Genomic DNA, 22,651 nt, shown 5'->3' with positions numbered 1-22,651 from the left:
CAACCCAGGGACCAGCAACAGCAGGAAGCCACCACTGCCTGAGGCTGAGGGACAAGGGAGGAGGCCGCTGACCAAGGCCACGCATCAAGGTCACTGCAAAGAAACTGCAGCCACAGTGGGAGCGGGGTCATGAGAGAAATGCAGCTCCTGCCAGAGAAGGCACCCAAGACGGAGAAGGAGCGGGGAGAAGGTGCCTCCTCCTGCCCCACCCAGCCTCCAATCTCTGATCAAAGCCTCCGTCCATGGTCCATACCTAGCCGGCAGCCTGCTGGCCCGGCATCCTGAGAGGAGCATTCTTTAGGGCCTCTTCCCTGCCATACAGAGCAGAGGGGCGGCTAGGAACGGATCTGAGGCAGGTCCAGGGTCCGCACCGAAGACCCGAAGTCCAGCAGCTGCCCCGGCCTCAGCACACCGAAGCCTCGGGCACCCTCTTCGGGTCAGGGCAGCCTTCTCCCTGCTGCCTGCAGACCTCAGACACCGCCCCTGCTCTCCTTCTCTTTACCCTGTCACCACCCTCGGTCTCTCTGTCAACCCGCCCTGGGGTAAATAGACCTGCCACTCTCTTCCTATGCAGTCTTCCTCGAGGGTGAACACACGGCCCTCACTCCAAGCACACGCGTCAGGCAGGGTGGCCCGGGCCACAGCCAGAGCAGAGACCTGCAGGCTTTCGAGGGTTACCAGGAATAGAATTGCCCGTGGGCCCGGGCGGAGGAGCCCCTGCTCTGAGCCCCACCTTTAAACGGCCAGGATTCCAAGAACCAAGGAGACCTGGCCGCTACCCCTTCCTCTGAGTGTCCCTGCCCGGACAGCCCTGAGTCTGTTCACAGCCCCGGCTGGCCTTTTCCCCCTTGCCGGACCTTCTGAGCGCGCACCACTCCACACAGGGCGCATCCTCAGACCTGAGGGCTGACCTCTGCCGGGAGTACGGAGGGAAGAGAAAGTTATGGTTGCAAATTTAGCTCACTCAGCACACAGGCTGGGGTGTGAGCATACCTGCATGTGAACCCTCTCATGGCAAGGGATGTCTCTAGGGGTGTAAAAAAAAAAGAAGAGGGCAGCTCTCCCCACGCTAGGATATTACGAAGGAGTAACTGTCGACATGTTGTATTTACCGGTTGTCAGCTTGATTTGTTTTCCCGCCCCAGCCCCCACGACTCTGCCTGGGTCACAGTGGGCTGGTTCTTTTAAAAGCAGAGGTTGGAAAATGTATCGTATATTTCAAAATCGCTAAAAGAATAGATTTTAAACATTCTCACCACACACAAAAACAGTAAGTTGGTAAAGTGATTGATATATTAATTAGCTTGATTTAATCTTTCTACGATGTATACATATATCAAAACATCACATTGTACCCTATAAATATATACAATTATTACTTGTAAAATTAAAAATAAATAAAATTTTTATAAAGTTGAGTTGGGCCCTGAGAGGATGAGGCTCAGGCAGAGAAGAAAGACAGACGGCTGAGAACCACAGATGCTCAGGGATCAGGGATGTGTGGGAATCTGGAAAAGCACCTTTGAGAAGCTGAGTCCCGAGGTTCTGAATCTGGTGTCTGCAGCCTCTGAAGGGAACTCCTTTAGGCTTTGAGGGATGACACACTCTCTGATTTTTTTTTAAGCTAACATTTATTGAATATGGCCAACTTTGTTCTAAACATATTTCAAGTATTATCACATTTGATCTTTTTATGAAGTGGGTAGTACATTTATCTCAATTTCACAGATAAGGGAACAGTCAAGGAGGTTACAAAACATGCCCAAGGCCACTCAGCTAGTGCGCGGCTCAGCCAGTGTCAGATGCGTGAGCCTGTGTCTCAGGCCAGGCTGTTACTCACCACTTTATCCTGCCTCCCACTCTGTGACAATTGTTTGTGTGTGTAGTTGTGTGTCCAGGGCTCCATCCTGTTCTGGAAGAAGTCCCTGAGCCTTAGACGGTGAGGGAACACAGGACATTCTCCCAGATGTTTGAAGACAGCTCTCGTATCCCCACCTAAGCCTTCTTTTTTCCTGTTCCTCTTGTGATAGAGCGCCTAAATCCTTTAGCACCCAGCTTGCCCTGGCGTGGGATCACTCTGCCCTGCATCATTTGAAGTATAAGACCCAGAACTAAAACCCACATCCAAGTTGTCTGACCTACCCCATGCAAGCAGAATTAGGAAATCATTTCTGCCCATTGTTCCAATGCAAACACAGCAAAAGATAGAATCAGCTTTGGGGCAGCGAAACCCATTCCACAGACATGTGTTGAACCTCCACGTGAATGAGACAGCCCCTGCCCTCAAGCAGCACACAACCCTGTCAAGGAGGGCGATTGGTCATTTTAACAAAACGTGGTGAGTGCCACAAAGGAGCACAGACAAGTGTTCTGTGGCATCTCCAGAAGCTCAGGGGTGCAGCAGAGCTGGATTGTAAAGAGTGAATAGGAATCCTGAGGCAGGCAGACCGCTTGAGCCCAGGAATTCAAGACCAGCCTGGGCAACATGGCAAAACCCTGTCTCTTCAAAAAATAAAAAAATTAGCCGGGTGTGGTCGCACAAGCCTCTGGTTTCGACTACTCTGGAGGCTGAGGTGGGAGGATCACTTGAGCCTGGAAGTTTGAGGCCACAGTGAACCATGATCACGGCATTGCACTGCAGCCTGGGGGACAGGGATTCTGACTCAGAAAGAAAGAAAGTGTGAATAGGACCTCAGCTGGCGAGCTACAGGAGAAAGAGATGAGACCATGTGCAGAGGTGCAAAGGTGTTCAAGGACATGGCAAGTCTGCAGCCTGACACAGGATTGGTAGCCAGCTCACATCTGGAGGACCCCCTGCTGGACACTAAGGAGGGATCTGGCATCCTGAAGGCAAAGGGGAAACATGAGCTGCTTAACGTGGCTTGGTTCCTATGAACTCATATTGAGCATTTAGTCAGCTAAAATCTTTCAGCTGTGTCACGGGTTTGTTAAACCAAAGTCCAGAACTTTCCATTTATTCCACTTAAATTTCTGGATCCTATTTCTGGCATCCAAGCTGTTAATAATCCCCCCCACCACCCCCACCCCCGGCAAGCTGTGTCATCTGCCCTTTAAGTTATTGATTAAAAATGTCCAAAACACAGGGCTCAGAGCTGAGCCTTGTTGCCTACCACTAGAGACTTCCTCCGAGTTACTCTCTATCTGCATGTCTCAGGTTTATGCTTTCAATGGGTTGTGAGTTCTACTTAAAAGCACCTCTAGCTCACAATTAACCAATTTTGTCTACAAGGAAGTCACAAGAGACCTTATCAGCTGTCTTGCTGAAATCCAGATGTACCACATCCTCAACGTCTCCCTGATCTACCCGCCCTGCCACACCATTAGAAGAAGAAATGAGGTGACACTGACATGACTTGTTTCCAGCAGTCCCATGAAGCTCTTCGAAGATCTGTGCTCCTATTTGTAAGGGGCACAAACCGTTTAACAGCATGCACTACAATTTTATTGGGGCTCCCCTTCCCACTTATTGGTTTGTAGTTTGCAGTATCTAAAGTGTTCTCCCTTTTAAAAACTGGGACTTTTGCCCACTCCATCCTTGGGGACTGTCTCACATTTGTTATGGTTTGTGAAAGATTAACAATAGCTGTTGAGCAATCTCGACATGCTGCAGCTGAGGCTGAGCAGTCACTGGTCAGGGTGAGGAGACCTGGACTCCCTTCAAACTCTGTCATGTTTGTTGGGCGCTTTCTCACCAATCTTGGACCCCAATTCCAACTCAGTAGGGTTATTTTTCCCTTCCCAGACTGGACATCATTCTTGAAAGAGAAAAGGGAAACATGAGTTTGGCATTTGGTCATAGTCTCTTTAGTGTTTTGTCTTGTACGCTAAAGAGTTTGAACTTGATCTGGTGAGTAGAGAAGTCAATGAAGATTTTTTTGAAAAAGGAAGTGATGTGATCGTATTTTAGGTGGAGAGGATTAAGGTTTTGACTGGTTCACATCATTACTACATTGCTGTTTATCAACATCTAACACTCGCAATTACCTCTAAGCAGGAGAAGCAGTGCAAGATAGACTAGCTCAGGTTGATCATTTTATCAACCTGAAAGGGGAAGCAGCTACGTGTAGGATTTGGAGTCTGAGAGACCTGGTTTTAGATACCAGTTCAATTGCTCAAAGGCAGGAGAGCTTAAACAAGCACCTTACCACCTCTGAGCCTCAGTTTCCACATTGAAAAAAATGGGAATCATAATTGTATGACAGGGTGGTTGTGAGGCTGGAAACAATGAATGTAATGGGCCTAGTACCACAGACAAAGTGCTCAATAAATGCTCCTTTGTCCAAATCCTTCATCTTTAGGTGTTGTGATTACACAGCAATCACGGTGCAGGATTCCCCAGCACCCCTAGACTGGGGACTTATTCCTGAAGCAGCCTGAAGAGAGTGGGGCCCTGATTAGACAGATGTGGGCTCTCAGCTGTCTGCAGCAGGCCCATCAAGGCCCCACTCCTGAGTGACCTGCAGGGGAGGCTGGCACTGAATTCCTAGAGTCCCAATCTCTCATCCCACCCTAATTAGCTCCACCTGGGTGTGTGTTCTCTCAGGAACTGCAGGGTTAATAGCTGGAAGAACCAGTTTTAAAATGCACCCTAAGGAGTTGGTCTGGAGCCTGGATGGGAGGCACCAGCCCCAGAAATGGAATGTGTCCCAGGGCCCCAGCCCAGGGCACCTGTAACTTCCTGCAGATGTGGCTGGTCACCTCCCACACACTTGAGCACCTCCTCCCATCCAGCTGTGGGCGTGCAGAGAAGGAAAATGCAGCATGCATAGGGGAGCGTGGTTAGGGAGGCACTGGCCATCCCATCATCCTACTGTCATCCCACCTGCTCTTAGGTTAGCCTTCCATGGCTGAGCAAAATGCCCTCTGGCCAGAGAAAGGCCAGTTCAGGCTGTCAGCTTCTCCTGGCCAGAAGAAGCCACGTTTTCACTGAACACATTGCCACCCAGATGCCCAGTTTTTTTTGGGGGGGGGGGGACAGGGTCTTGCCCTGTTGTCCAGGCTAGAGTGCAGTGGTACAACCATGGCTCACTGCAGCCCCCATCTCCTGAACTCAAGCAATCCTCCTGCCTCAGCTTCCCAAGTAGCTAGGACTACAGATGTGCATCACCACACCCAGCTAATTTTTGTATTTTTAGTAGAGATGGAGTTTCACCATTGGCCAGGCTGGTCTTGAACTCCTGACCTGCCCGCCTCAGCCTCCCAAAGTGTTGGGATTACAGGTGTGAGCCACTATGCCCGGCCTGATTCCCATTTCTTAAATGTGACATGAATTCTCCCACACATACATGCTTCAATCCTATCAAGAATCCCTGAACTCCCTAAACACAAACATAGCATGGGGCAAAATGCCAAGGGCTTTCATAGGATGGCTCTGTGCCTATGGTGTGGGTACTATTACTACCCCTCCCTCCCCCATTTTACAGATGAGGAGGCTGAGGCACTTGAGAAATCAGGTACTTCACCTGAGGCCACATAGCTAAGTCAGTGGCACAGACGGGATTTGAACTCTTGTAAGCTTGCTCTGCACTATGTTCTAGTTCCTCTCTTGTGATAGAAAGTCAGGGACTTGGAGACCTGGCGGAGATAACTGCCAACCACTGAGCCTCAATTCACTTTCTCTGGAGGCCCAGTGGCGGGGCCTATTATTCTCCAAGAAAAAATAACCGCAGACTCTCTAGTGACTGTTTAATCTGGGCTTCTAGGACCTCTGAAACGGAGGGGAGGCAGAGCAGAACTTCCCCCACCCCCACCCTGCCCCACACACGCACAGACACCCAGACACACATACCTCCCATTCCTCCCTTTGGGTCTGGGCAGCAGCCACAGCCTTTGGACACTGCATCCTTAACTATGTTTTTTTTTTTCATTTTTTTTTTATTGTGGTAAAAAATGTAAGTAGCATAAAATTTACAATCTTAACAATTTTAAAGTATACAGTTCCATAGTGTTTATTGTGCATCCAATATCTAGAACTTTCTCATCTTGCAAAACTGAAACTCAACACCCACCGAACAACTCCGCATTCTCCCTCCCCACTGCCCTTGGCAAACACTATTCTACTTTCTGTGTCTTAAATTTGATTTGAACCTGGGTTTAAGGGTTTCATTCAGAGAAACGCTTCCTGCGTGAGTCGTGTTTTCAGTGGGTGGTGAGTGGAGACGTTAGTGATGGCAGAATGTAAGCATCCTGTGGGCAGAGACTTTTGTCTTGGTCACCTTTTCCCCAACACTTGGCACACAGTAAGTGCTCAATAAAAATGTGTTGCCTCAACAAATGAAGAATTGAACAGCTTGCTAAGCCCGTGGAAAGCAGCCCCTCCAGGTAAACTGATCTGTAACTATAGCCATTTGCAGACTTCAGGGTCCTAGATTTGGTGGTGAGCAGGCTTTTCCGCTAGAGCCCCAGCCGCCCCTCCCTCCCTGCTAATGCTCTCAGCCACCCCTCTATTCCTGTCACCCCTCTCTCTTGAGAATGACTCTGGATTTTGTCATTCTGACTGGGCTGACAGGGAGAATGCTTTAAAAGTTTGAGAAGTGATGCCTTAGAGGAAGGTTTTGGCAGCTGGTGATAAATTGTCGACCTTGCTTCCAGAAAAAAAAAAAAAAAAGCATTATCTCTTTTCGCTCCTCACAAGGGAGATTTTTAAGAATATCAGCACTTTTTTTGTGTGCAAACAGTGAGATCCAGCAGTTTGCAAACCACACCTCCAGGTAAAAAGCCCTTCGAGATAGGAATGAGAATGAAGGGATCTCACACAAATACAGACACAACAAAGGTCGTTTCTTCCAGTGTGGAATTAGCAGAAGGAAGCAACTTTGAGGAGACAGCGTGTTAGCCCAATGCCACACTTTGATGTCCCAGTCAATAAAGACTCAGGGAGGCAGCACGTGCTGTGTGCCCAAGCTCTGAGTATTTTGTACATAATAACTCAGTTCATCCTCCCATCAGTCTCGAGGGAGGTAGTGTCACACCCATTGTACGGAGGGGAAAACCAAGCTACTAAGAAGTTAAGTTGCCTGCCTGTGGTCACATGCCTGGCTGGGATTTGAATCCAAGTGTTTGGTTCCAGAGGCTGGGCTCTTAATAGCAAACGATGCTGACTATCTTTACTCATTTACTAAATTGTTTATTAATTGGTAACAACCATACACAGAGAGCCCACTGCGTGACAGGCCTTACTGCCAGCAGTAAACAGAACAGTCCTCACCCGCCCAGAGCTTGCAGTCTGGGACGTTAATTCCATGAGGGGACGTGTCTTGTCTGTGAGGGCAGCCCAGGGAAAGGGGCAACCCAGACCCACAAATCACCAAGCCAAATTCAACTTCACCTCATGATGAAGACAGTCCTGACAAACAACTTCTTGGAGCCAAAATGTAATCTTCTTATTTGAGAAAAACAGCTCTAAGTGAAGGTGTGTTTTAATGATGGCTCTGGCCTCAGGAGGAGGTTTGGAACACCAACCTGCTGTGAGGCTGTTGACTCTGTATACAGTATACAGTATACAGTGTGCTTCCTGGCACTGGCCCCACCTGCCAGCCCGGGAACCAAGTAAAGCCAAGATTTCCTCATGAAAATGTCAAATGAAACCATCGTAATACCAAATATTAATATCAGCTGGATTCCTGTATTGGAGGAGGATCAAAGGAGCTTTGGGTCTTGCTCCTGGCCTCTTTGAGGAGGCTAGCCAAGTAGCAGTTTCTTGTCAGCTTAAATACACCATGGGCTCTGTGCGTGCAAGCTTAAAAATCCGAATGGCAAATGCCCTGCCTGCCACAGACATCCCACTTCCTCAGCTGGGGAAGGAGATGGACCACTTCTGTCTCCCTGCTGGAGGTTCAGCGGGCGGCTGAGAGCACAGGCCTGCGTTTCATCCTGGCTCTGCAGCTCACACAGGTGGATCAGTTTCTATCCTTCAGTTTCCACATTTGTAAAATGGGATGACGGACTAATAGTCGTACATTCTGCATAAGGTAGTTGTAAGAAGGAAAGGAGAGAACCACGTAGGGTACTTCGCAGAGGTCATGGCCAGAGGGATGCATGGGGAGTGTTAGCTATCGTCATATGCAGTGGTGTTATACTATTATATGACACACTATTTGCAAGTAACTTCATTGTTTTTAAAATTCATCACATTTAAGTAAACGTGCAAGAAGCACTTTGGGACAGTATTTCTCCTACACTGTCAGAGTTTAAAGCATTATCATCTTATCAGATACCTGGGAAGGCAGAGACCCATTTTTTTGGTTTTTAGTGAGGTAGAAACAGGGGCAGGATCCTCGGTTTGCAGTTCAAGGTCTAGTCAGTAGCTCTGACTTCCTCCCTTCAGCCCCGGCCGTGCTCAATCTTATGTTCAAAGCTGGAGTGCTTGGCCCGCCCGACTCCTCATGGCTTCCAGCTCTGTCTTAGGTTGGCTTCTCCAGAAAGCAGACTTTAGGTACAAGTAACTGATTAAGGAAGGGATCCCAGGGGTAACCAGTAAGGGAGTGGGGGAAGCAGCACAGAGAAGGGGACAAAGCCAAGCAAGGGCAAAGTCACAGCAGAGGCTCTGAGTGCAGCTTTAGGCTGATCCTGCAAAGGACCCCTGAATGGACACACCTGAGTCGTCCCCACGAGAGGGGGAGGAAGCAATGGGATGAGGGTGGTCCTGCTCCCCACCATTCCCAGGGACCTACTTGGAGGAAGTTGTGCTTCCTGCTGCCACAACTTTAGGTTCGGTGGTCTAGAAGTCCTAATTCCTAGAAGGGAAGGGAGACACTTCTACCAGGGACAGAGTCCCACGAAACCGAAATCGATGGCAACCACCTTGTCATTTGAGGTTGGTCCCCTCATCCTGGCAGACCATCAGGCAAAGAAAGGAGTTACCATACTGGCAGGCATGATTGGCCCCAGTCAGTAGGAGGAGGCTCTGTCCCTGTTACAATGGAGCCGGGGGGAGGATGTGTGGAACGCAGGGCATCTCTAGGTCACTCCCATGCCCAGGGTTAACTGTGACCAGGTCATTATAGCAACCACAGCCATGGTAACCAGGAGCTTAGACTCCTCAAGGATGACGGGCTGGGTCACCCCATTAGGAAACAACCAGTGGAAGTGCCAGCCAGCTGAGGATGGGGGGCCCAGGAGGGTTGTAATGAATATCTGTTTTGCCTCCAGACAAGCTATAAAAGGTGAGAATGGTGGATCATCCAACTAACTCTCCTCTTGTAAGGCTCCCCCCATAAATTGTGGCCCATCACCAAGATGAAGACTCCGTGATAGGAAGGTGTGAACTTGAATGTGAGATGTAAGTGGACAGTGTCTGTGCTCCGCCCAGGCGCTCCTGGACCCCTTCTTGTGGTTCTTGTTCACCCTGGCTTCAGTGTGCTTTTGCTTCCCAGCCCCACTCCTGATGTCTAGTGTCTCAGGTTGGGATCCCGCTAAACAGGCCCCTAGCTGAGGCTTTGTGTGGATGTGATGTAAGGACACTAGGAGAGGAGTGGTGGCGGGGGGGCGGGGCAGAGCAGGATCTCAGGCCAACATTCTCAGGGCCTAATCCAGGGAGCTGGGGGGCAAGTCAGTTTCCAGACTCTTCATCCACGCACACAAAGTGGCTCCAGAGCCCCTGAGGGCTGTCTGCCAAAAAGCCACAGTGCTGGCTTTGGAAGAGAATGCACACCAAAACCCAGGGTACACAGAAAATGGTAAACTGGGGGGAATATGGGTGGACCACTAACATTTTCTGCTGCAAGCTTTACTGCAAAAATGGCTTTGGCATTGCATTGCTCCAAGTGAGAATGAATTCAGGTAAAAAACATGGAACCAAGAAGGCACAGGACGTCTGTTTCAGCAGAACCAAAAGACCACATGTACCCGAGCTTGGGCACCGAAAGCCCAGCCTTCCCTCTGAGGACTGGCGGGGCGAGGGGAGGGGGTGCAGAAAGGGAGGGACACACAATCCTGCCCTCCCTTTCCAGCCAGCCTAGCTGGAGAGAGGAGAAGCCACCTGCGGACTTTTTAAACCATAGCCCAGTGAGCCCCAGGCAGCCTATTATTACAGGGCAGAAGGAAGTATGTGCCCCAGGAGATGAAGGCCTGGCAAGGTCACTCTGAACCCAAGGGGTGAAAAAACAAATCAAAATACACAGAGAATTGGCATTGACAAGTTCAAGACACAAATTATTTCTTCAAATTACACTTCCTTAAGTTTTGCTTGGGCTTAGAGTTGTTTTCAAGCCGGGCAGATTTCCAAGGGTCAAATGGTGTTTCAAGAGCAAGCACATTCATTGGTCCATTCATTGCTTCTTCCTTGAGGTACACATTGACGGAGTGCCTGCTGTGTAAACAGGCATTGTGCTGCACGTGGGATTGGTGAAAAAATAGACACTGGCCCTACCCTTATGTAGTTTATGGTTTAGTAAAGAGAAAATCATTAAGCAAATAAGTACACACATAAATATAGAAATACAAATTGCAATGGATGTCTAGATGGACTAGCATGAAATAGGAGAGAATAGCAGGGTAACCGAAACTTTAAGTTGATTTGTCAGGAGAGATTCCTTTGCAGAAGTGGCACCTAAACTGAGGCCTGAAGGATGAGTAGGACTAAACCAAGCAGGGGAAGAAGGTGGGATGTGGAGTAACCTTCCTGGGCAGAGAGAACAGCCTGTCCTAAGCCCTAGACTTGTGAAAGGTAGGGGCTGACTTGGGACCCAACTGAAACCAGAACAAGCAAGCAAACCAAGGCTCTCATTTCGCCCCAAGGATCGAAGCAAAAGCGTCAGCAAGTTTCTGTATGTGGGCAGGGGGCTTGGGGTTTCAGCAGGGGAACAGGGACCTGGAATAGTGGTACGAATTAGCCTCCAAAACTGCTCTGGGTCAGATACTTAAATCAGACAGAAATTGCCCTTTTGATTAAAGATGAGGCAGAGTGGCCTCGGGCTGTAGCTCCGCACAGTGCAGGGGTGCCGTGCACAGTGTGATGGATGTGGATGGAGCCCTGCAGCAGGCAGTGGGCAGCCTGGGTGGCAGCCGGAATGTGAACTTGGAAACAGACGAGCAGGAAAGAGGCTCTTTGGAGAAGTCAGTAAGATGGCTTAATCTTTGGAGAGAAAAGAGGAGCTTAGCCTAACAGTTGAGTTTTTGTTTTCTGAAAAAGCTGGAGACCAGAGAGGCGGGAGAGCAGAAACGGAGGTGTGGAATGTGTGGTGAAGAAGAGGAGATTTTTTTTCTACAGCAAAAATTACTTGTGGGGGCTTTCTGATAGAAAATATTGAGTTAAATAGGCAAGGTCCTACCCTGATGAGGTGCATTACAATCTAGTCTGGGAGAAAAGACATTAATTTAAATAATACAAAAGCAAATGTGGCCCGTTGCAGTGGCTCAGGCCTGTAATCCCAGCACTTTGGGAGGCCGAGGCAGGCAGATCACACGAGGTCAGGAGCTCAAGACCAGCCTGGCCAACATGATGAAACCCTGTGTCTACTAAAAACATAAAATTTTATTAATGCCCGGCATGGTGGCGGGCACCTCAGGAGTTCAAGACCAGCCTGGCCAACATGGTAAAACCCCGTCTCTACTAAAAACACAAAATTTTATTAATGCCTGGCGTGGTGGTAGGCACCTGTAATTCCCAGCTACTTGGGAGGCTGAGGCAGGAGAATTGCTTGAACCCGGGAAGCAGAAGTTGCAGTGTGCAGAGATTACACCACTACACTCCAGCCTAGGAGACAGAGTGAGACTCTGTCTCAAAAAAAACAACAAAAAAAAGGAAATGTGCAGTTGTAAGTTGAGAGGCAACTTACAAATGAAGCAGAGGCCCATGGTGGGGTGGGCGACCAGGGTCCTGACTAAGTCTGGGGGACAGCTTCCCTGAGGAAGTTGTATCTGGGTTGAGAGCTACAGGAGGGAGCAAGTTAATTAGGAAAGGGACTGGACTGGGGCACTGAGAGTATCCTAGCATCAGGAAGGGCATAAGCAAAGGCCCTGTCTTGGGGACATCTGAAGAAATAGAAAAATCCTGGTGATTGGGACACAGAGAACCTAAGAGCAAGAAGAAATTATTAGAAGGTTTAAGACGGATTTGACAGGGATTTTGAAGCCTTATCCTACTCCTTCATAGAAGATGGTTTAGGGGGATGAGATAGTGGGGAGACTAGTTGGAAAGCTCTGGTACTGGTCCCGGGGATAGCTCTGGGTAGACTGGACCAGGATGGTGGCAATGGGGCTGGAGAGAAGAGGATAGGTATGAAACATGTGTAGAACATAAGTTGGGTAGGAAATTGTGATAGAATATATGTGTGGGATGTGAGGGAAGAGGGGAAGAGATGTGGCAAGGTTTTGGGCTTTGTGGAGCTGGAAGGATGCTGGGGCCATTCATTAAGCTGGGGAATCCTGGAAAAGATCCAGGTTTGGGATGGAGGGTACTGATTCTGATTTTAGACATTTGGATAGATTGAATTTGAGTTGTCCTCAGACAACCAAGTGGAAGCAATTGGGTGAATCGGCCTGAACTTCACAGGAGCAGTCCAGACTAGAAATATCAGCTGGGCAGACACCGGTGTATGAGTGTGGGTATGGATGAGGCCACAGAGGGAGAGAATGAAAGTATGAATGTATATAGAGATGTGGTGAGATGTTACACAAAGAAGCTTTATTTGTCAAATTATGTTGGAAAACACCAGATAAAACACACTTCAACTGATGTCTTTGCTGCTGGACTTCTCAGGGCCTTTCAAAGGCTAATGAGTGTTTGTATTTCTGGAGGAGAAAAAGGGGTTGTGAGCGCTGGGGATCACCGAAGGCAGAAAGGCATCTGGGGATTCCTAGGCTTCTTTGACCATGAAATCCTTCTATCACAGGGCATCTTACTGCACTAAACAAATATTTCTGACCATAAAATATGGTAACCAGGACACTATTTTTTTTCTTTGAGGGTAAAATAGCAATACCTCACATTCAAACAGCGCATCATATTTAACCAAGTGCTTTCATGCCACTTCTCATTCAACTCCCAAAACAACTTTGCAGAAGTAGACTTTGTATCCCTATTCATGAATGAGACCCAGATACAATGAGTGGCATGCCTAATGCCCAATATCTCCCAGCTGGTTAGGCATAGACCTTGAGCTAAAGCCAGGGACAATCAGGTCACCAACTCCAAAATCATATTAAGTTGTATGATCTTGACTGCTTCCACATGCAAACACACAGTTGTTAACGTTATTATAATAATAATTATTATTATTAGAGACAGGGTCTCTCTCTGTCACCCAGGCTAGAGCACAGTGGCACAATGATGGCCCACTGAAGCCTTGACATCCTGAGCTCCATTGATCCTCGCACCTCAGCTTCCCAAGTAGCTGGGAATACAGGCGTGTGCCACCAAGCTTGGCTAATTTTTGTATTTTTTGTAGAGATGGGGTTTTGCCATGTTCCTAGACTGGTCTCAAACTCCTGGGCTCAAGTGATTCTCCCGCCTCAGCCTCCCAAAATGCTGGGATTACGGGCATGAGCCACATTCAATATTAATAATTTACTAGTAGTGAGGCCAGTGCTTGAATCCTCAGAGTCTTCATCCTGGTAGCTAAAAAGCCTGTGTTTCTGAACCAAGCAGCTGGCCTGCTTATTTTCTTTTCTTTCTTTTTTTTTTTTTGGAGACAGAGTCTTGCTGTGTCACCCAGGCTGGAGTGCAGTGGTGCGATCTCAGCTCACTGCAACCTCCGCGCCTACGGGTTCAAGTGATTCTCCTGCCTCAGCCTCCTGAGTAGCTGGGACTACAAGGGTGCAGCACCACCACGCCCAGCTAATTTTTGTATTTTAGTAGAGACGGGTTTTCACCATGTTAGCCAGGATGGTCTCAATCTCCTGACCTCATGATCCGCCCACCTCGGCCTCCCACCGTGTTGGGATTACAGGCGTGAGCCACCGCGCCTGGCCCTGGCCTGCTTATTCTTAATAAGATGGCTGCACTGAGTCAAACCCAAAGTCCATCCACGGTGGAAGCATATGGTTTTCCTCAGTGAAGTCAACTTTAAAGGTTGGAGCTACACTCAAGCAGCATCCAGTTTCTCTTTCAGAGTCAATTATGGATCTCACATCCAGGAATTTATCCAAAACTTTAAAAAAAGCTCTATTTATTATTTTTATCTTGTGTCATTACTTGGGATAATGAGATCTATGGGTTAATCCTTTCCGCTACAAAATCTTTCATTAATCTTTTTTTAACATTGATTGACAATTAGGCTGTTGGAAGAAATAAATTTCTCAAAGAGGAAGGTAGACAAATCAAGACTACCTTCTAACATGAGCACAAGACTTCTCTTTCTGTGGAATTAAATATATGCTTCTAGACTTAAAGATGACAATATGCATCCTTGACTTATTAAAGTTCAATATAAATTAGTACTTTTTTCAATTCCTGGACTATGTTAAGGACATTGGAATGTGTCAACTCCCTTTTCCTCCTTCTTATTTTTTGTGTATTATTTTAATTCTACATATATTCTCTCTCAAGATATTATTTTATACAGTCAGTATTAATTTTGATTTTCCCATGTGTTTACCCTTTACAATGCTCTTCATTCCTTTCTGCAACTCCTTGCTTCCATCTGAAATTCTTTTCCTTTTACCTGAAAAACTATTTAGTTTTTCCTTTAGTGTCTGTCAGCTACTTATAAACCATCTCAGTTTTTGTCTGTCTGGAAATCTCTTTATTTCACTTTCATTTTTGAGTGATATTTTTTCTGGGTGTAGAATTTTAGGTTGTTTAGCTGTCTTTTTGTTTGGGTTTTTTTGTTTCCTTTTTTGCCTTTACAGACATAATTTTGTTCTTTGGCTTCCATTGTTTTTGTTGAAAAAATAGCTGAATATTGTGTCTGCGTATAATGTATTTTTTATTTTCTTTTACACTAGCTACTTTTGCAATTTTTCCTTTGTTTTTCAGCTGTTTTACTATGATGTATATTGTAGTTTCATTTGTTTCTGGGGTTATTTCCCTGCTTGGAGTTTGTAACACTTCTTGAATCTGTGGCTTTATGTTTTTGTTAGTTTTTAAATCCTCGGTCATTTTCTTTTCAAATATTGTTTATGCTACATTGTTTCTCTCCTTCCAGATCTCTAATTACACAAATGTTTACATTGGGTCCTGTATATCTCTTAGACTCTTTTCTGTATTTCATAAATTTTTTATCTTGTTATAATTATAGTCATCTGAATAAATATTTTCTTCTGACCTATATTCAAGTTCATGAATATTCTCTTCACTTGTGTCTAATCTGCTTTTAAGCCCTTCTACCAAGTTCTTAATTTCAGTCCTACAGTTTTCCTAGAATTTGGTTCTTCTTAAGGCAGACTCTACATATCTTTTAAAATCATAACATTTTTTTTTTCTCTTGGTATTCAGTCATTTGGTCCTATCTCCTGGTATGCCTGGTAGTTTTTGAAAAGTTCATGCCAGAAACTATGCATGAAAAACTGTAGTGATAATTTAAGGTTCTAGCAGATATCTTCCTCTAGAGTGAATTTACTTTTGTTTCTAGCAGGCAGTTTGCTAGGAGAATATCTCTTTAATCTAATCTGAAATCAAAATGATTCAGATCTGGGTTTCAGTCTTTGTTAGTGCTAGTCTATTACCAGACTAGCTTTATTACCAGTATATAGCCTTTCAAGGCTCCCATCTGAAAGACTGGGATGTTTATTAGGACCCTTCCCCTTGACAATTCTTGAATCCCAACTTTTGTCCCATCAGGCCTGTAAGGCTGCCACGAGTTCTGCTCAGCTGCTCAGCAACTGCTAGTGCTTCAAAATCAGAAAATGCCTCATGGGAAAGCAGTTGCAGTTGTCAAACCATTCACCTCTCTGTTTCCCTTCTCTATAGCTCATTAGACATTATCCGGGATCTCAGATTACAGGGAATGCAGAGGCAAAAAGGTAATCTCCAAGCCTCAAACTACTTCCCCACTAGTCTTTTTCCAGTGGCACTATTAGCAAAATTAGTTACCAGCATAAGGCTCACAATAAACATGGTTTCCTTCCACTGTGTGCTTCCTAGTGGTGGTGATGAAATGTCTAAAGTAAATAACAGAGAAGTAACAGGAGAGTGAAGAGGAGGAGGATTTGAAATCAACAACAACAACAACAAAGAGCTTGTGTCAACTGTTCCTCGGTGTCAAGAATCAGCTTTATTTGCATTCAGTAGACATCAAAAAATTGCAGGTTTAAGCCACTGAAATGAGCTAAGTGACAGATTTGAGGCAAGAACGGAATGGGGGCAGTATGGCATTTTTGGCCTAAGACCCTATCCAAGAGAAGTAAAGAGGAGATTTAGGCTATTTGCCCAGAAAAGCAGAAATATATGCCAAACACCAGCCATGGAACATGGAAATCCCACGCCAACTTCAGCTCTCAGCCAAACACTCTCCAAGGCCTGACACTCCTCACACTCTGACTCCTCTAGCCCAGGCAATAAACAGTGTGTTCCTCATTCTTGCTACTGGACAAAATTCTATTATTTCCCTCTATACTTCCCAAAACTTCATTTCTGCCAGTGGAAGCAGTATGAGGTATGTGAAGCATAGTCTCTAGAATAAGCCTACCTTGGTTCAAATCTTGGCCCTGACACCTGGGTGATCTTAGGCAAATCATTTAACGTTTCTGAGCTTCATTCTCCTCATTGTGAAATGGGGATGATGATAATAATAGTTTTCAAGATGACATAAGATAATGCTAGTATAGTGCTTGAAAAAAAAAAAAAAGCAAAATAAATACAGGCTATGGCTATTCCTTAACTTAATTCAGGGTTCAGGAGTATATACGAAGATCTTACATGGTTCTCACCTATTGGTTCCTACATTTGAGAGGCAGCCTCAGGAGTGTTATAGGAGGGAAAAGGAGAGATAAAAAACAGGAGAGGTTCCTTGGCTTATAGATGCATGGGTAGGCATAAGTTTAATCCAACAATAATGAGGTTCCCCTAAGGCTGGTATCTAGACCTTTCTGGAGAAATGCTGTAAATTGATAAATATGAGATGTCATTAGTCAGGTGTCCTGTTTTCACTCTTCCCTGGGAGGGAGCAGGTTCTGTTTCAGGTACATCCCAGGTCTCAACTTCCCCCACCTGCCCCCTCCAGAAACCCTGAGGCCAGATGGCCTTAGGTTGATTATGAAGTCAATGATGCCTCACCACCCTTACGGTCAGAAGGACACCTCCACGGAGCACAGGGGCCTTCTGCTCATCAAAATCTCTACTCAGTAACAGTGCTAAATATCAATTATTTAGCTCTTAGTGTGAATTGACTGTATGTCATTTTACTTACATACATCTGCATTTTATATCTTACCTTTACTCTGGAATGAAAAGTTTGTGCCCCCAAGAAAGCCAAGAGACAGCAATAAGAAGGGGAGAGAGCCAGTGCACAGCCATCGTGTCCTAGGTCAAAAGTCCCATCCCCACTTCCAGTTCTCATAAGGTATGTGGCTTTGGGTAATTTATTTTCCCTCTCTTGTCCTCAAAACCCTAATTACAGGGTCTCTGAAGTCTCTTCCAGTCCTAAAAGCTGTTCCACCGATGGTGGTTTTAGTTGGAGGATCTGAAGGGGCCCAGAAATAACACGAGGGCAGATACAGTCAGCCCATACCCTAGCTGACCCAGACAACTCTGAACACCCACCAGTGTGCCTCACCCCCAGCCCCAAGTGAGGCCCCCTTCACCCCACCTTCAGGGCAGGGCCTCACCTGAGCCAGGCTGCGAGGGTGGTGGTATCCCAGGCCCCAGTCCAGCCTCACTGTACAGCCCCCTCCTCTACCCTCCCAATCCCATTTCCTGTCTAGCAGATTTATAGTGCAGTTCAAAGAAGGAAGGACGATATAACAGCTTTCCTGCTCCCTCCCTCTCCCAACTGATTTAGTCTAACTGGCTCAGTGCCAAGCATTTTGCTCTCCACAGCCTCTCATATGTAAAAATACCCCAGGCCCCAGCCCTCCTGCCAGGAACATGGCGTCAGCTTCCAAACCCACCGGTCAGGCCTTCACTGGTGGGCGGGAAGGAGGCTGCCCTGTGAGGCGCTGGAGTCTAATTAAGTGCTGAGGAAGCAAACCATGGGCTTTAATTTTAGCTCTGAAAATAGCAAGGGCCTAGGACTCCTCTCTCTGGCCTGAGCTGTGATGAGAGTTGCCTCCCTCTGCCTGCTCGGTGGGGAGGAGAAGAAAGGATTCAGAGGGTGACGACAGCGGGAGGCCAAGGAGCCAGGAAGCAAGTGGGAGGAACGGGCTTCAGGGAGAAGGGGACGCAAGGCCAAGCCTGGGTCCATGGGACATGCCACACCCGCCACATCTGCTTTATCCCTACTTCGCATCCTAGCCCGAGTCTAGAGTGCATGGACACTCAGGAGTTCCGAGTTGCGCCAAAAATACCTCCAGAGCCCCGTGTGGCTAAGAATGCTAAGCTCTGGCCAACGTTGAGGTAATTCCCTGGGAAGATAATAGAATATGCATCACAGTTCCATACACTAACAGCCTCTGAGGCAATGAGGGTGAGGAAAAGCATTGACAAATGGACAGGTGATCATCAAAACTGCTGCGAACCCACCGAATGGCTCACTGGCCCAGCTGGATGTCACACGGGCTCCTGGCATCCTCCTGCCCACCTCCCTGTGTGGAAGGAGAGAAGTCAGCCTGCCCAAGGCAACAGGCAAGGACACAACAAATCAAGGGGCAAGATGGGAGAGGGTGCTCATGCCCAGGGGGTGGAACGTGGAGGGGGCCATTGGCTTTGCCCGTTGGGTCACTTGTCAGTCACTCACCGTGTCCTAGCTCTTCTCACACTATATTATCATTACCGTCCCCCTCCCACATTAGACCAGGGGGCATAAGCTGCATCCTTGGGACAGGGGCTTTATGTTATCCCCTCCCTTCCCCACTCCCCAGCACATTCTGGGCATTTACTTGGCTGAAATGCTTTTGTTTCTTTGCAGCCTCCCCTTTGTAACAGCCGGCACCCAATTTGCTTTATATGGTCATGAGCCCTCTTACCTGCAGCATCAAATGGGAGGCATGAAGCCACGATAAAGAACAAGCAAAGTGAGCTCCGTGAACGGGCTTTCCCAGGCTGCCTTCTGCACACATGAGCCTACCCAGAGGGGACACAGAACAGGGATGAGGCCTCTTGCATCTGTGGGGGCTATGAAGACAAATGTTATGTGTACCTAAAACTAAACCAGCACTCACTGCTTCCAGGAAGAGTTGGAATAAAAAGGAAGGAGAAACTCACCGGAAATGAAACTCAAAGGCCAGGAGTGAGGGCGGTTACCCGCCACACTCCTGTGAGAGCCTACCCATCATGGCGAAGCTGGAGAGTGGGCAGATCCTTTCCCAGAGCCCCTCCAAGTCACCTTGGAGATACCATCAGACTTCCCTCTTTTCTTCAGATTTCTTCAACCACTCCACAGACATATTTAAAGCACCTGCCACAGCTGTCTGGTAGGCACAATGTGGAAATAGCCAACCACCTGGGGTGCTGGAGGGGAGACCACCGAGGGCTGAGGGGGACAGGGCTGACCCTGGGGGTCACGGAAGCCTCTGCCTCTAGAGGGGGTGGAGGTTACTGGGGCCTGCTCCAGGTAGAGCTACCTCTCCCTCTCCCTCTTCTCAGCCTGGCATCTCTACCCCCCATGGGTGCTGTCACTCTGAGCACCTCTCACTCTCCAGAGTGCCCCTGGCACCCTGGTCTCCCTGCTTTTTGGCTCTCAGGAGTCTGCTCAGGGCCCAGCTGGCCCTAACACAGCGCGTTTCTCTCAGCAGAGTCTGAAGCCAGAATACAGGCGACATGTAAGAATAATGCCAAGGACAGGAGAGGATGGGGCGGCCGAGGAGAAGCACCACGTTACCCTCAAGCCCTACCCTGTGGGCAGCTGTCCCCACCCCGGCTGTGCTTGTGGAGATATCTCCGTGTGGCCAAACCACAAGGCCCCCATTTGGAGGATCCCATTTTCTAACCACCTTGGCCCAACATCAATAACAACATTGCCCCATAAGAAGCCGCGAGGCATTTCCTCAGGGAACCACCAGCGCCAGGGCTCAAAGACCAAGTCCAGACACTAGGAACTCCCCTCAGGAGTGTAAAACCGAGTTCAGAAATAAGAAAAACAAAGTTTCCAGCCCAAGTCTCCTCCATGGGAGACACCCTCAGCGCCCCTCCTCACAGCTGCTAGGCCTCCTCCTCGGGCCGGCCCCTCATTAGGAACTAACAGTCCCAGCCATGCCAGCCTCCAGGCCTCCTTGTTAACTCCTTGGTTTCCCTTAGTGCTGCCAGGAGAAAATTAGGCCTCAGAAATCCTGAGCAGTACTGAGAGGCAGAGAGCACCTACCACAGATGGTTAATGGTGTGTACATTCTATGGTTTCTCTTAATAAACCAAATTAATAATAATTGCTGCCATTTATAGAGTGCCTCTTATGCTTTACCCACTTGCATTATGAACTCTTCTGCAGCCTCTCATGTTTGCAACAACACTAGAAGGTAGGAATTTCTTCGCCTATCCTATAAATGAGAGCATGGAGGCTGTGTAGCTGGCAAGCAGATGTGTGGTTTAAACTCAGCTCTGTTCTGTTTTTCGCCCACCTTATTACTTACTTTGAGCAAAACTGGATTCTAAAATGTGCAGATTAAAGAGCTGACCACTACCCTTGCATCGTCCATCTGCAGAAGTTTTACATCTTTTTCTTTTCCTTTTTTTTTTTTGAGATGGAGTCTCACTCTGTCTTCCAGGCTGGAGTGCAGTGGTGTGATCTCAGCTCACTGCAACCTCCACCTCCTAGGTTCAAGTGATTCTCCTGCCTCAGCCTCCAGAGTAGCTGGGATGACAGGTGCCTGCCACCATGCCCGACTGATTTTTGTATTTTTAGTAGAGACGGGGTTTCACCATGTTGGCCAGGCTGGTCTCAAACTCCTGACCTCAGGTGATCCACCCACCTCGGCCTCCCAAAGCGCTGGGATTACAGGCATGAGCCACCGCGCCCGGCCAGAAGTTTTACATCTTTAAAACCAGAAAACACTGGGTTGAGAATGGGAAGAGTCAGGGGGTCTCCCCAGCCAAAGGGGCTTGTTGACTTTGAATAAGTACCAGCTGCCTTGAGCTTTTGAGCTTTGGCAACCTGATTTCAAAATGGTGCAAGTAAAAATAAAAATGTCTGCCTTTCTTCCTTCTTGGGCTTGTTGGAAGATCAAATAGATCCAGTCCGGCAAAAACATTGTAAGCTGAAGAGAGCTGTGAAGAAGGATGATGCCACCGGATGACTCCCCTGTGGGGGACGCCACAATGGAAGGCGTGGGGCACACCACAGTGGAAGGCTAAGGTGCTCACTCAGATGGCTTCCCAGTGAGTTTTGGGGCCTGGTGTTCCAAGGGCCCTTTGTTTTATTTGTAAAAGATAGGCGCTGCAGCATTGTGAAGACCTGGTTGTTTTATGATTTTTGGAAGACCAGCAAGTTTGTCATAAGGTCAAATATGGGTCCTCCATGGCTGACCCTGGACTGTTAAATAGGTGGCCCATGGCAGAAACCATGTGTAGGCCATTTTCTTTGACCCACCACCTACTCCTTTTATCACATGGCCAATATACGAGATTCTCCTCTCCCAGAGAAAGGAATCAGTTCATTAAATTTGGATCATTGAGTTTATCACCAAAACCCAGAAACAACACAAATGTCCCTTGGTTGGGGAATGGATAAACAACCATGGTACATTTATACAACAGAATATCAACAATAAAAAGGAATTAAATACTCCTACATGCACTAACATGGATGAATCTCGAATGCCTTATGCTAAGTGAAAGGAGTCAGATTCGAAAGGCTATGGACTGTGTGATTCCATTTATATTACATTCTGGAACCCTCAAAACTCCAGGGTTGGAGAACAGATCAGTGGTTACCAGAGGTAAGTGTGCAGGAAGGGAGTGACCAGAACCGGGGAGCACAAAGGAATCTGGAAGACGGGATGGAACTGTTCTGTATCTTGGCTGTGGTGGCAGTTACACAACTCTATGCATTTGTTAAACCTCATGCAACTGGATACCAAAAGGTGTGAAGTTCACTGTATGTAAATTAAAACACTTTAAAAAAAAAATTAAAAAATAAACTACTTTTAGAAAATTAAAAAAAAATGGATCAATGAGAAAGTAGAGCATTTAACTGAGGAGGAAGCCCAGTCGTATCGCATAGTGTGGTAGGGGACAGCATGACACTGTGTAGCACAGGGAGCTGTGGTGTAGTGTACAGTGTTATGTGCAGCGTAGTATATACAGTAATGTGGTGTGTAGTGTAGTGTAGTGCACAGTCGTGTCATGTTGTGTCATGTGTATTAGTATAGGAATTTGGCTACTAGTCCTCTACCTAGAGTTGGCAACCATTACCTGGGGAAGGTGTTAAGAGTCCAGGGCCCCATGCCCCAGTGATCTGGTTCACTGGATCTGGGGTAAACCCAGGAGTCTGCATTTTAAACAAGCTTTCCAGGTTATTTTGATGCAGGTGGTTAATGGCCCACATTTTGAGGCCCACCATGAGGCCTTTCTTCATTATTTTGGGATTTATGCTTCATGAGCAGGCTTCTTTTATTCCTTGGTGTTTCTCCAAGGGCCCCTTAGACTCTCGTGCTTCATAGT

The 22,651-nt window shown here is 47.3% G+C and overlaps 4 annotated features.

Annotated features, from left to right (window-relative positions):
- Positions 10,160-10,454: a silencer, noted in NCBI's record as "tiled region #15105; HepG2 Repressive non-DNase unmatched - State 8:EnhW, and K562 Repressive non-DNase unmatched - State 24:Quies". NCBI's record gives its function as "represses a minimal TATA promoter and a strong SV40 promoter by Sharpr-MPRA in HepG2 and K562 cells {active_cell/tissue: HepG2 | K562}" and the evidence as "EXISTENCE:reporter gene assay evidence [ECO:0000049][PMID:27701403]".
- Positions 18,012-18,818: an enhancer, noted in NCBI's record as "H3K4me1 hESC enhancer chr6:109020205-109021011 (GRCh37/hg19 assembly coordinates)". NCBI's record gives its function as "activates a minimal SCP1, AML or CMV promoter by ChIP-STARR-seq in primed H9 embryonic stem cells {active_cell/tissue: H9 hESC(primed)}" and the evidence as "EXISTENCE:reporter gene assay evidence [ECO:0000049][PMID:30033119]".
- Positions 18,012-19,245: a biological region, named in NCBI's record as "CDK7 strongly-dependent group 2 enhancer GRCh37_chr6:109019778-109020977".
- Positions 18,046-19,245: an enhancer, noted in NCBI's record as "CDK7 strongly-dependent group 2 enhancer chr6:109019778-109020977 (GRCh37/hg19 assembly coordinates)". NCBI's record gives its function as "activates an origin of replication core promoter dependent on BRD2, BRD4, P300/CBP, MED14 and CDK7 cofactors, with strong dependence on CDK7, by STARR-seq in HCT116 cells {active_cell/tissue: HCT116}" and the evidence as "EXISTENCE:reporter gene assay evidence [ECO:0000049][PMID:35650434]".

The sequence above is a fragment of the Homo sapiens genome, chromosome 6, assembly GCF_000001405.40.
Source record: "Homo sapiens chromosome 6, GRCh38.p14 Primary Assembly".
NCBI lineage: Eukaryota > Metazoa > Chordata > Mammalia > Primates > Hominidae > Homo > Homo sapiens.
This window is presented reverse-complemented; position numbering and strand designations above follow the sequence as displayed.